Source organism: Homo sapiens, chromosome 16 (genome assembly GCF_000001405.40).
Source record: "Homo sapiens chromosome 16, GRCh38.p14 Primary Assembly".
In the NCBI taxonomy this organism is placed as follows: domain Eukaryota; kingdom Metazoa; phylum Chordata; class Mammalia; order Primates; family Hominidae; genus Homo; species Homo sapiens.
The window spans coordinates 74,482,487-74,495,158 of record NC_000016.10 but is presented as its reverse complement, the minus strand read 5'-3'; the positions used below and the strand labels follow the sequence as shown (position 1 = coordinate 74,495,158).

General features: G+C 41.3%; 1 protein-coding gene across 5 annotated transcripts in view, besides 1 other annotated feature; it reads left to right on the top strand.

The window, feature by feature from the left end:
• GLG1 (golgi glycoprotein 1) overlaps nt 1-12,672 on the top strand; it is a 159,675-nt gene that overhangs the window by 111,956 nt on the left and 35,047 nt on the right. For 4 of the 5 annotated variants that reach the window (NR_027264.2, NM_001145666.2, NM_012201.6 and 1 more), the window contains 5 exons: nt 328-399; nt 2,019-2,202; nt 3,944-4,158; nt 9,242-9,363; nt 12,035-12,136. The exons of the other annotated variant lie outside the window; for it this stretch is intronic. Coding sequence is in view for 3 of the 4 variants with exons in the window: in NM_001145666.2 (NP_001139138.1) it covers nt 328-399; nt 2,019-2,202; nt 3,944-4,158; nt 9,242-9,363; nt 12,035-12,136 (695 nt within the window). In the remaining variant the exon portion in view is untranslated. The remainder of the gene's footprint in view (nt 1-327; nt 400-2,018; nt 2,203-3,943; nt 4,159-9,241; nt 9,364-12,034; nt 12,137-12,672) is intronic. 5 annotated transcript variants of the gene reach the window in all.
• Nucleotides 8,744-9,296: an enhancer, noted in NCBI's record as "NANOG hESC enhancer chr16:74519761-74520313 (GRCh37/hg19 assembly coordinates)". NCBI's record gives its function as "activates a minimal SCP1, AML or CMV promoter by ChIP-STARR-seq in primed H9 embryonic stem cells {active_cell/tissue: H9 hESC(primed)}" and the evidence as "EXISTENCE:reporter gene assay evidence [ECO:0000049][PMID:30033119]".

The window sequence follows — 12,672 nt, the reverse complement described above, 5'->3', positions numbered from 1 at the left end:
CTGGGCAACAGAGCAAGACTGACTCTATCTCAAAAAAAAAAAAAAAAAAAAAGACTCAGACTCTAACACTTCTCTTGGTTCCCTAATTAACAAAATACATCTGAGAACAAATGACAAACTCCAAATATCATGGGAATATTTTTTTCGTCTTTACTGCAGTCACTGTTTTTGTTAAAAGCCTATTAAATTTTATAAATGGAAGCGCTGTTTGTCCAAAGGTATGTACGATTATAATCGTTTAATAGAAAGCTCTATATGAGATTGTGGATAATGTTCAGCATAACTATTTAGCTAAAGTAATAATAATGTGTATGTTCCATCTTATAGACACAAGCTGGTGAGGGCAGAGTGTATAAGTGCCTCTTTAACCATAAATTTGAAGAATCCATGAGTGAAAAGGTAAGTATTATTTTGAAACTAATGAATGTTTTATTTGTTTTTTAAAAGCTTTCTCAGCCAGACACGGTGGCTCACGCCTGTAATCCCAGCACTTTGGGAGGCTGAGGCAGGTGGATCACGAGGTCAGGAGTTCAAGACCAGCCTGGCCAAGATGGTGAAACGCCGTCTCTACTAAAAATACAAAAATTAGTCGGCCGTGGTGGTGGGCGCCTGTAATCCCAGCTACTCGGGAGGCTGAAGCAGGAAAATCACTTGAACCCAGGAGGTGGAGGTTGCAGTGAGCTGAGATCGCACCACTGCACTCCAGCCTGGGTGACAGAGTGAGACTCTGTCTCAAAAAAAAAAAAAAAAAAAAAGCTTTCTCAATTTCTCTGAAACAATATTTCTTATAATCTTATACCGAAACGTAAATGACTGATAAAGCTCACCGCTTTCAGAGGTGAGGTACTTGGGTTTTAAGCATATTTGGCTGAAACCAAGAAAATGAAACCCTGATTGTGATATCTAGATAGTGAGAAGCCAAGTAGGGTTCTCACTGTGGTGGTTTTTTTAGGTGTTTTTGTTTTGTTTTGTTTTTGTTTTTTTTTGAGTGGAGTCTTTCTCTGTCACCCAGGCTGGGGTGCAGTGGCATGATTCGGCTCACTGTAGCCTCTGCCTGCCGGGTTCAAGCAAGTCTCCTGCCTCAGCCTCCCTAGTAGCTATGACTACAGGCACCTGACAACACGCCCAGCTAATTTTTGTATTTTTAGTAGAGACGGGGTTTCACCATGTTGGCCAAGCTGCTCTCAAACTCCTGACCTCAGGTGATCCACCCGCCTCTCACTGTGGTTTTATATAAAATCCTCAGTGTGATTTTATATAAAATTCTCAGATATTACTTTGTTTGGGGAGTAAAATCAGAGAATTTTATATAAAACCACACTAAGGCCAGCCCTGCCTCCTCAAGAAGTTTAGGTTAACCAAATCAATGTGCTTTCTAGGCAATTAGCTATTTAATTTTTCAGCAGCTATATCATTAAGCATCCTCTTTTAGTTCTTTGTCCCTGAATGAATGCAAGAATAGTTGATGGCTTTTGAAATAATTAATTTTGCTATCTTGTCATTTACTTTCCTGTGTAGCTGAAGAAATGTTTCTCATTTCCTTTTTCTTGTATCATTTGAACAATCTTATTCAAATCTTATTATTCAGATGATATAGAATAATTGAATAATTGTATTTTAAAGCATTGAACAGAATATCCCAAATGTTATGTTAGTTGCCAGTTTGATGCTAGTGAAATTTATGTTCGGGGTATTGTTAAAGTGGAAAAGAATGCTGTGTGTCAAGTTAACATATTGGGATCTGTGAGATATTTACATGTTTTGGATAGCTGCTATTGCAGCAACAACTAGCAAGTGACTACAGAATTTCTAGGTTCCCCACCCACTTACCCCTGTCTCATGCCACACTAGTTTAGCTCAATTGTGAACATTTTAACCAAACTTAAAGATAGATATGTTGGTAATAACTGCAGTTGTTGACATGTACTTGGCTGAGTCGCTGTGCTCATCTTAGTGGTACACGTCAACAGTAAAGTTACATGAGTGGTCTCACGGCTGTTGCTGTACTCTTTCCTCAGTGTCGAGAAGCACTTACAACCCGCCAAAAGCTGATTGCCCAGGATTATAAAGTCAGTTATTCATTGGCCAAATCCTGTAAAAGTGACTTGAAGAAATACCGGTGCAATGTGGAAAACCTTCCGCGATCGCGTGAAGCCAGGCTCTCCTACTTGTTAATGTGCCTGGAGTCAGCTGTACACAGAGGTAGCATTCATATTTTTTTTTTAATTATCATTTCTGTTCCTTTTTGGATTCACACTCTAAAGCTTTATATATATAAACGTTAGTTTCCTCCCATATTTGCTTCTTTGAGTATTTTTCTTTTTTTTTTTTTTTTCTTGAGACGGAGTCTCTCGCTCTGTCGCCCAGGCTGGAGGGCAGTGGCGCAATCTCGGCTCACTGCAAGCTCCGCCTTCCGTGTTCACGCCATTCTCCTGCCTCAGCCTCCCAAGTAGCTGGGATTACAGGCGAGTGCCACTGCGCCTGGCTAATTCTTGTATTTTTAGTAGAGATGGGGTTTCACCATGTTGGTCAGGCTGGTCTCGAACTCCCAAACTTAGGTGATCCGCCCACCTTGGCCTCTCAAAGTGCTTGGATTATAGGTGTGAGCCACCGCACCTAGCAATTTTTTTTTTTTTTTAATAGAGATGAGGTTTTGCCACGTTGGCATCCCGGGTCTCAAAACTCCTGCCCTCACGTGATCCTCCCACCTTAGCTCCCAGAGTGCTAGGATTACAGGCGTGAGCCACTGTGCCCAGCTGAATAGTTTTCTTGTCTTTTCTTTTTTTTTTTTTTGAGACAGAGTCTCGCTTTGTCACCAGGCTGTAGTGCAGTGGCACAATCTCAGCTCACTGCTACCTCCGACTCCCTAGTTCAGCCTCTGGAATAGCTTGGATTACAGGCACGCACCACTATGCCCAGCTAATTTTTGTATTTTTAGTAGAGATGGGATTTCACCATGTTGGCCATGATAGTCTCGATCTCCTGACCTCGTGATCTGCCTGCCTCGGCCTCCCAAAGTGCTGGGATTACAGGCGTGAGCCACTGCGCCTGGCCTAGTTTTCATTTTTGAAATACACATTGTGCAACATTTTGAGGAGACTCAGGGTAGCATGATTTAGCACATGGGTCAGACTTGGCTTCAAATTTTGGCTTTATCACTAAACAAACCGTCTGGGTGACCTGTTTTTGTTTTGTTTTGTTTTGTTTTAATCTTTTTGTTTTAAGTTTTCCTGGCCAGGCGCGGTGGCTCACGCTTGTAATCCCAGCACTTTGGGAGGCCGAGGTAGGCAGATCACGAGGTCAGGAGATCGAGACCACGGTGAAACCCCGTCTCTACTGAAAATACAAAAAAATTAGCCGGGCGTGGTGGCAGGCGCCTGTAGTCCCAGCTACTTGGAGAGGCTGAGGCAGGAGAATGGCGTGAACCCAAGAGACGGAGCTTGCAGTGAGCCGAGATCGCGCGCTGCACTCCAGCCTGGGTGACACAGTGAGACTCCGTCTCAAAAAAAAAAAAAAAAAAAAGTTTTCCCCATTGGCATTTACAGCTCAAAGAAGTTGGGGGAGCTTATAGTGAATATCTTAAATGTAGTCTTTTCTAAAAGCTTTAATTGTGTAGGCCAATGGAGATTGTTCTTTGGCTTTCATTTTTACCCTAATAGTTATCTTATTGATAGGATTTCCATGGGCAAAGCATTTGCATTATTAGTGCAGTAGTATAAAACCTGTTTCATGCAGAACAGTGACAGGAGAAGCCTGAATATCTGGAGTCTAAGCCTATTTTATGCTGCTAAAGCTTTTGCTAATTCTAAACTTTTCAGATGTTAGCATGTCTGATAGGTATATTGTATTACAGATAGAAATATGTACTTTTAATAGGTGGTGATTTCTGATGCTAATACATAGCATCACCCTTCGTAATGTTATGACTTACATCCTAACTTAGGGCGACAAGTCAGCAGTGAGTGCCAGGGGGAGATGCTGGATTACCGACGCATGTTGATGGAAGACTTTTCTCTGAGCCCTGAGATCATCCTAAGCTGTCGGGGGGAGATTGAACACCATTGTTCCGGATTACATCGAAAAGGGCGGACCCTACACTGTCTGATGAAAGTAGTTCGAGGGGAGAAGGGGAACCTTGGAATGAACTGCCAGCAGGCGGTAAGGAGACATTGCTATTGCCATTTTGAATGTCACATTTATCAGCTGAAGAGCCTCTTCCTGATGCTGTCCCACCTTGCTTTATATGGATCATCTGTGGTATCACATTGAACATTAGGTACTAATGATCAGAGACTGAACGTTGCTTCTTCAGGCATATCTTAGTAAGAATGTGACATTTGCTACAGAGCAAAAGTTTGAGCTCATAATCAATAAAAAGAATTGTCTTCTTAGATAGATAGAATGCATTATTTGCTAGAGTTCCTAAAGAAAGGGCAGCTTGCTAGACTGGATTTCCTAAACTCAGAATCAAGGCAAACCAGGTTCCAATCAATGACGACAGGCCCTCTACCAAGAGAGAATTTGCCTGTTGTAATAGATTTGATTGAGTTGAGGCTGAAAAAGAGTTGATATGAATTGAAATTTTTTCTAAGTTTCTAAATTTTTTCTGTTACTAATTTACCGCATGGCATGAATTCCTGGCCTGAAGGATCAAGAGAGCATGTCATTTTTGAAATCACACTATCTTTTCTTCATATACTAGGGCAACTATGCATGGAAGAGCCATTTTCTTTTTAATTTAATTTAATGTTAAGTTCCAGGATACATGTGCAGGTTTGTTACATGGGTAAACGTGTGCCATGGTGGGAGTCCTTTTTCTATCACTAAACCTCACAGTTAGCATACTTTGCTTGGGGAGATAAAGTTCTTCTTGATCTAGCGTTTATAAACAGTTGAATAACTGTAGGTCAGGTACAAAACACAAGTTAATGTATTAGAGATTTAGTACATCCCTTTCATTCCTGTTGTCCATGTTGATTACTTTTTACTGGATAGGAGTCTTAGAGCAACTTAACGTACCATGTGCACCAGTGTGCCCTGTGCAGTGAACTTTCCTTTGGGGAGCACAAGAGATAGTTTCGCTTTATATCCTAGAATAGTAGAAACTTGAGGCTCTCCTCCCTCAGTGTAACTTTAGAAAGCCACAATCAGTCTATTATTTTATAGTTAGCATTTTTATTAAAAACTGGATATCAACTCGAATTTTATTTTCCTGATAATCGTGTAAAATCAGATTTTTACAGTCTGAAACAAAACTTTGCGGTCTGAAACACAACAGTTTTACAGAATTTGGATGTGGAGTAAAATTATGTCTTAGCTTTAGTTACTCACCTTGACCCAGAGTAGACACCAGTGCATGTGTGCACGTGTGTCTGTGTGTGTGTGTGCGCACGCATGCGTGTCTATGCATCCCATGGTGGGAAAACAGACAAATGTAACTTCTTTAAAATACCAACCTGGGCAGGAGGGAAGGCTTCTGGAATCTGCCGTTTGATTTTGCCACAGTGTTGTTTCTAGGGTGCAGTTGTTACTGGTGACTTCCTTGGGAAACCTCTGTGCCAGTGTGGGTCCTGGGACCCAGACCAAAAATGAATCAGGAGACAGCCTATATTTGCACTTCATCCTTAAAGCAGCACAGAAAGGTTGTTGTGGCGGGGGTTAGGAATGAACCTACCTTTTTTTTTTTTGAGACAGAGTCTCACTCTTGTTGCCCAGGCTGGAGTGTAATGGCGCAACCTCTGCTCATAGCAGCATCCACCTCCCGGGTTCAAATGATTCTCCTGCCTCAACCTCCTGAGTAGCTGGGATTACAGTTGCCCACCACCACACCCAGCTAATTTTTGTATTTTTAGTAGAGATGGGGTTTCATCATGTTGGCTAGGCTGGTCTCAAACTCTGGACCTCAGGTGATCTTCCCGCCTCAGCCTCCCAAAGTGCTGGGATTACAGGTGTAAGCCACCATGCCCGGCCTAAACCTGTCTTTTTACTGAGGCTACACTTGTAGTAAGGGATACAGAAAAAAGAAAATAGACTGGTTTGACTTTATTTCGAGGCACCTAATTCACACCCAGGGCTTTTTAAAATGTAGCTTGTTGAAAGAACTAGTGACTCAGCTTGAAAGATACATAAGTACTTCCCACATCACCCTGTGTGTCCAGAAGAAAAGTACTTTCCAAATCTAGAGGGTGGCTTCAAGTAGTGAAACATATGGTTTTGCCCATATTAAATTTAGCCAAGTGAGGCTGGGCATGGTGGCTCACACCTGTAATCCCAGAACTTTGGGAGGCCAAGGCAGGCAGATCACTTGAGGTCAGGAGTTCATGACCAGCCTGGCCAACATGGTGAAACTCAGTCTCTATGAAAAATACGAAATTAGCCGGGCGTGGTGGCATGCACCTGTAGTCCCAGCTACTCGGGAGGCTGAGGTAGGAGAATCGCTTGAACCTGGGAAGCAGAGGTTACAGTAAGCTGAGATCACACTACTGCACTCCAGCCTGGGCAATAGAGCAAGACTCCACCTCAAAAAATAAAAAATTAAAACATTAAAATAAAATAAAAAATAAATTTAGCCAAGTAGGGAAGAAGCGCTTTATTTTTATTTTTATGGACCCAGGGTTTTTAGCTTTTGCCCACAAAAATTGAAGGCCTAAATGATCCAAAGGGAGAAAAATGTCCTTAGTGTTCTACTACAGTAGCCATCCCCAGTCAAATTGACGAATGTTTTAAAGTAATTCATTTTGGGGGAGCTTATTTTTATTTCTTTTTTGTTGTTTTGTTTTTTAAGTGATGGGGTCTCGCCGTGTTGCCCAGGCTGTTCTCAAACTACTGGGCTCAAGCAGTCTGCCCGTTTTGGCCTCCCAAACTGCTGGGATTACAGGCATGAGCCACTGTTCCTGGCCCCTTTTTTCTTTCTTTTTCAAATTTTTCTTCCTAATACAGCAGACTTCCATACCTGTCTGTGGTTGACCATTAGTTTTCCCTGTTCTCTGCTTGGTGATTGATTTAGTGATTTCTCAGCAGGTAGTAAGCTGTAAAGCGTAAGCATAATTATCATCTTGTTCAGTACTTACTCTCCCAAATGCACCATAATCATGAACTGTGAAATTCTCTTCGTTCATGGCTGAGTAAGTGTGGGCCCAGGCTCTCCTAGGCCAAAGATAACTGCCAGTCTTATTCTCTAGTCATCTCTCTGAAGCATTTTCCCAGGTTTTCCTAGGCATGCCAGGGGCTGGAATAGGTGTATAATCATGTAGCAGTTCACATTTTCAGTGTTTATTTCCCACGCTACTGTCACTAAATTCCAGAGTGGCAATGATAATGATCCCTGGAGCTGTTAGCCCACTAGGCTCTAGAGGGCATTCATTTTCGCCTGTAAATATTTGCAGTCTAGTGCATGTATTGTTTCTTGACGTTTGCCTGTCAGTCATGGATATTTAACTGATACAGTTCTTGCAGAGACTTGCAGACTCCCATGTTGCTTCCAACTTTTCTCAGAAAAAGATGTAAATGCTTTGGTCTTTGTCAACAAATGTCATAAGTAACATTGGTAATCATTCGATAGTAATTTTCCTACCAGCTAACCACAGCATTTTGTAGGTTTCCCAAATTGCCACCAATAATTTTTGGTATAAATAACTTCTATCGTAGAATATTGGAAATCTTTCATGTTTCTCTCTTCTGGATTACCAGCTTCTTTCAGGATAATAGAAGTTTGTGGTTTTTTCCTTTATTTCCTTTTGATTATGGTTCTCTGATAAATTTGTGATCTAACCTATGATCCCACAGGTGCTCCAGTGAAGGCCCTGTGGGATCATAGGTTAGATGTATAAGGATCAGAGGACAAATCAGTGACACAACAGGGTTCCAGTTTTTTAACTTGGCAAAAGGGAACGCAAACCAGTAAGGATTATAGTTTTCAAATTCGCTTTCTATTATTAAAGATTTCTACCCCAGGTCTGGGTGTGGTGGCTTACGCCTGTAATCCCAGCACTTTGGGAGTTCGAGGTGGGCGGATCACTTGAGTTCAAGACCAGCCTGGCCAACGTGGCGAAACCTCATCCCCACTAAAAATACAAAAGTTAGCCGGGAGTGGTGGTACATGCCCGTAGTCCCAGCTACTTAGGAGGCTGAGGCAGGAGAATCACTTGAACCCGGGAAGTGGAGGTTGCAGTGAGCAGAGATCATGCCACTGCACTCCAGCCTGGGTGACAGAGCGAAACTCTGTCTCGGGGGGGAAAAAAAAAAGATTTCTACCCCAAAACACCATCTGCTACTTATCTGTAGTAATAATCATCTTTCATGTCTGTAAAATGCTTTGCAGTTTACCTAATATTCTCCCATATATTATTATTTCTTACAATTTTCTGCAGTTAAAGAAACTAAAACTTAGAGGTAATCAATTTGTCCATGTTCTCAAAGCTAATCTGTCAGAGCCAGAACTATTAATAGAACTCAGTTCTTTTGATTTTAATTTAGAGCTTTTTCATCTATGCCCCAAGTGCCTTAAAGGCAGGAAAAAAAATGTGAAGTACCTATTCTCCTGTCTTTCCTTTGTTCCATGACAAGATGGAAAAGTAAATGATAAAGAATATAGTCTCATTTCCAGCTGCATAATGACAAGTATTTTTCTATGTACTTAGAATGAGCAAGCTCTGGTTTACCTCTTGGTTATAGAAAAATAGTTGAGGAAAATGGGAAATTATAAATACCATAATCCTGTTTTTTGTAATTGATATTTCTGCAAGTTAAATGAAATTGCACATCTGCTTTTAATAAAGCACAGCACACTTGACTTAATACCAGTGTCTTTGCAGCAAAATTCAAATTCTAGATTCTTATGACCCAATTAGGTCTCTAAGTGAAAATGTTCTTTATTTACTCTTTTCCACTTAAATCTGGCTTTGCCGGGAGCACCAGGTTTAGTAATCTGATTAACAAGTAGGCAGATGAAAGCAAAGAGGCAGCCTTCATATTCATGTTGTAAAGACCTCCAGGGATTACTGAGAACAAAGATAAGCAGTCCCCATCAATGACTCAAACAGAAAAACCTGCAGTCAAGGTAGAGAAACCAGTTGGAAAAGTATTTGGCAAATGCTCTTGAGCTTGGCTAGTGACAACTGTAGACAACTTTATTGGAGTACATTGTGGTAAATAGGACTGAGCAACTGAATGTATGAAGACACTGCTCTTACCTAGCACCTAAGTGACTTTCTTTCTTCCTTCTTAATTTATTTTAATTCAGCTTCAAACACTGATTCAGGAGACTGACCCTGGTGCAGATTACCGCATTGATCGAGCTTTGAATGAAGCTTGTGAATCTGTAATCCAGACAGCCTGCAAACATATAAGATCTGGAGACCCAATGTAAGTTATCTTCTCCATGGTATTTATCCATATTGTATTTCATTTGGCAGCACAGGGAACATTCCTTCAAATGACTTTTGGGTGGTTGTTGACATCTTAACTGAAATTTTGTTGAACAAGTTGAACATACACCAACTTTTATTAAAACTAGTATTGGAATGAAAACCTAGGATCTGCCTCATCCATGATATAGAGACACCTAGACCCAATATTGTGATGGTGTTTACGGACAATGACTGAGCATATATGGACCTATATATTAGGTTACTGAATAATTTTATATCACGATCAAATTAAAATGAAAGAGAGAAACACTCAGGATAGGTGGTACATACTTTGGCACTCTGTACTTTTCATCCTAGTTGTATATTGACTCATTGTATACATTGACTACCTGGTAATCATCAGAAAATACTTGAAACAGAAAATAGAAATAGAAAACAAAATGTGGTAGTTGAAGGGAGTAGTAATGGACAAAATGAATACTAAAGTTGCAACCAAGATCTAGAAAAGCTGAATAAATGCTATATTAAAGTATTCTCATTCTTTAGTTTTATTTTTTATGATGTAAAAACAGCTCTTAAACCATGGCCGGATGCAGTAGCTCATGCCTGTAATTGTAGTGCTTTGGGAGGCCGAGGTGAGAGGATCACTTGAAGCTACGAGTTTGAAACCAGCCTGGGCAATATAGCAAGGCAACATAAAAGTTTTTAAAATCAGCTGGCGTGGTGGTGCATGCCTGTAGTCCCATCCCCTTGGGAGGTTGATGTGGGAAGATTGCTTGAGCCCAGGAGTTCAAGGTTACAGTGAGTTATGATCATACCACTGCACTCCAGCCCAGATGACAGAGCAAAACCCTGTCTCAAAAAACCAAACCAAGCCAGGCGTGGTGGCTCACACCTGTAATCCCAGCACCTTGGGAGGCTGAGGCTGGCGGATCACGTGAGGTCCAGAGTTCGAGATGAGCCTCTAACCAACATGGAGAAACCCCGTCTCTACTAAAAATACAATTTATTTTTATTTTTATTTTTAGACAGAATCTTGCTCTGTAGCCCAGGCTGGAGTACAGTGGCGCAATCTCGCTTAGTGCTGCCTCTGCCTCCCGGATCCCAGTTCAAGCAGTTCTCCTGGCTCAGCCTCCCGAGTAGCTGGGATTGCAGGCACATGACACCATGCCCAGCTAATTTTTGTGTTTTTAGTAGAGACAGGGTTTTACCATGTTGGTTAGGCTGGTCTTGAACTCCTGACCTCATGACCCACCCGCCTCGGCCTCCCAAAGTGTTGGGATTACAGGTGTGAGCCACCACGCCCGGCCAAAAATACAAAATTAGTGGGGTGTTGGTGGCGCATACCTGTAATCCCAGTTACTCGGGAGTCTGAGGCAGGTGAAGCCAAGATCGTGCCATTGCATTCCAGCCTGGGCAACGAGGAAAACTCGATCTCAAAAAAAACAAAAACAAAAACAAAAAAAAACAGTTGCAAGTAAGAGCAGCTTTCCCATTCTGCAAAAATCTTTATAGCCTGCATTTGGCCATACCCAACAACAAAGTGAGTATAGTCCATGTTTATCTCATGCTGCTATGCAAGAACTCCTGCTGTTCATGCTGTGCTAGAGAATTAGAAAATCATATTCTTCCTCAAAGCTTTCTGTGTGGTTAAACTAATTAGGAATATTTACAGTGTAAAAATAACCACATCAAGCAAAGAGGGGGCAGGGGAGAGGGAAGAAGGAAGAACTGCTACAGATGAAAATACATTTAAGATACTTATCAGTTAACCTTTTCTGGATCCTGATTTGAACAAACTTGTGAAAAAAAAAGATAATTGAAAATATCTGGGCCGGGCACGGTGGCTCACGCCTGTAATCCCAGCACTTTGGGAGGCCGAGGCGGGCAGATCACGAGGTCAGGAGATCGAGACCATCCTGGCTAACACAGTGAAACCCCATCTCTACTAAAAATACAAAAAAAATTAGCCGGGCGTGGTGGTGGGTGCCTGTAGTCCCAGCTACTCGGGAGGCTGAGGCAGGAGAATGGTGTGAACCTGGGAGGCGGAGCTTGCGTGAGCCAAGGTTGCGCCACTGCACTCCAGCCTGGGCGACAGAGCGAGACTCCATCTCAAAAAAAAAAAAAGAAAAGAAAAGAAAGGAAAATATTTGAAAACTAACAGGGTATTACATGATAGTAAAGCTTTTAAAATAATTGCTTAGTGGTGTGATAATGGTATTAAGTCCTTATATTTTAAAGAAACATGCTGAAATATTTACAAATGAAATGATGGAGTATCTGGGATTTTGCTTTAAAATATCAGCAAAGAGGCCTAGAGTTAAAACAGACTTGGCCACAGATTGATAAAGTTATGGGGAGGGAAGGTGGCTGTTACATTATTCTCTACTTCTTTGTGTGTTGGAAAGTTTTCATAACCAGTTAAAAATACAGCAGCTGCACACTGCCCTTGTGCATGCATAGTCTTCAGTGCTGAGTGGCTCTGAAGTTGATCGAAGGTATAACCACTGTCAGGTTCAGTTAATTTGAGTGATTCTTAGAAAAATAAATCTGATTGCCCTAAGAAAATAACTAAAAGCCGCCTTCTACAGACCAGGGAAATACTATATTGACATAGAGTTCTGAACACTTCTCTCTTGTTACAATTTTACACATTTAATGGCTAGGATCTTGTCGTGCCTGATGGAACATTTATACACAGAGAAGATGGTAGAAGACTGTGAACACCGTCTCTTAGAGCTGCAGTATTTCATCTCCCGGGATTGGAAGTGAGTATTTTGAAGCCAAAGTAAATGTATTGCCTCAGCCTCTTCTCCTGTGTAGTCATAATTACCTGTATTTATTAAAATAATCAGTAGGAAACTCTTTTTGTTCAGTTCTGGGACAGCTAACACACTCCAATCCCCTGAAAAACTATTCTTTATCACTTTCAGAACATTATCTAAAAGCAGAGTCAGCCCACTACCAGCCTGTACCACACATCCTTGTTCACCACGACTTTGGAAGTCAGGGTCAAAATGTTTCTGATACTACAAAGATCTGTCTAGTAAGAAGTATGGCACCTGTGGGGGTGGCAAAAGCGCCTTCAGATATGTCTCTAAGAAGATAATAGTGCAGTTGTATTTTTATTGATTTGCAGTGGATATGGTAATTGGCTTTTATTTATTTATTCAGAGTTACTGAATTAAGTCTGTCTTAAGGGGTTTTTGTCAATAAGTGACAACTTGATTATCTAATTTCCCTCTCATTCTGTTAACAAAAAGCGGTGGGGGTGGGAGGATGAACTAGGAGAAGGATCCGTATT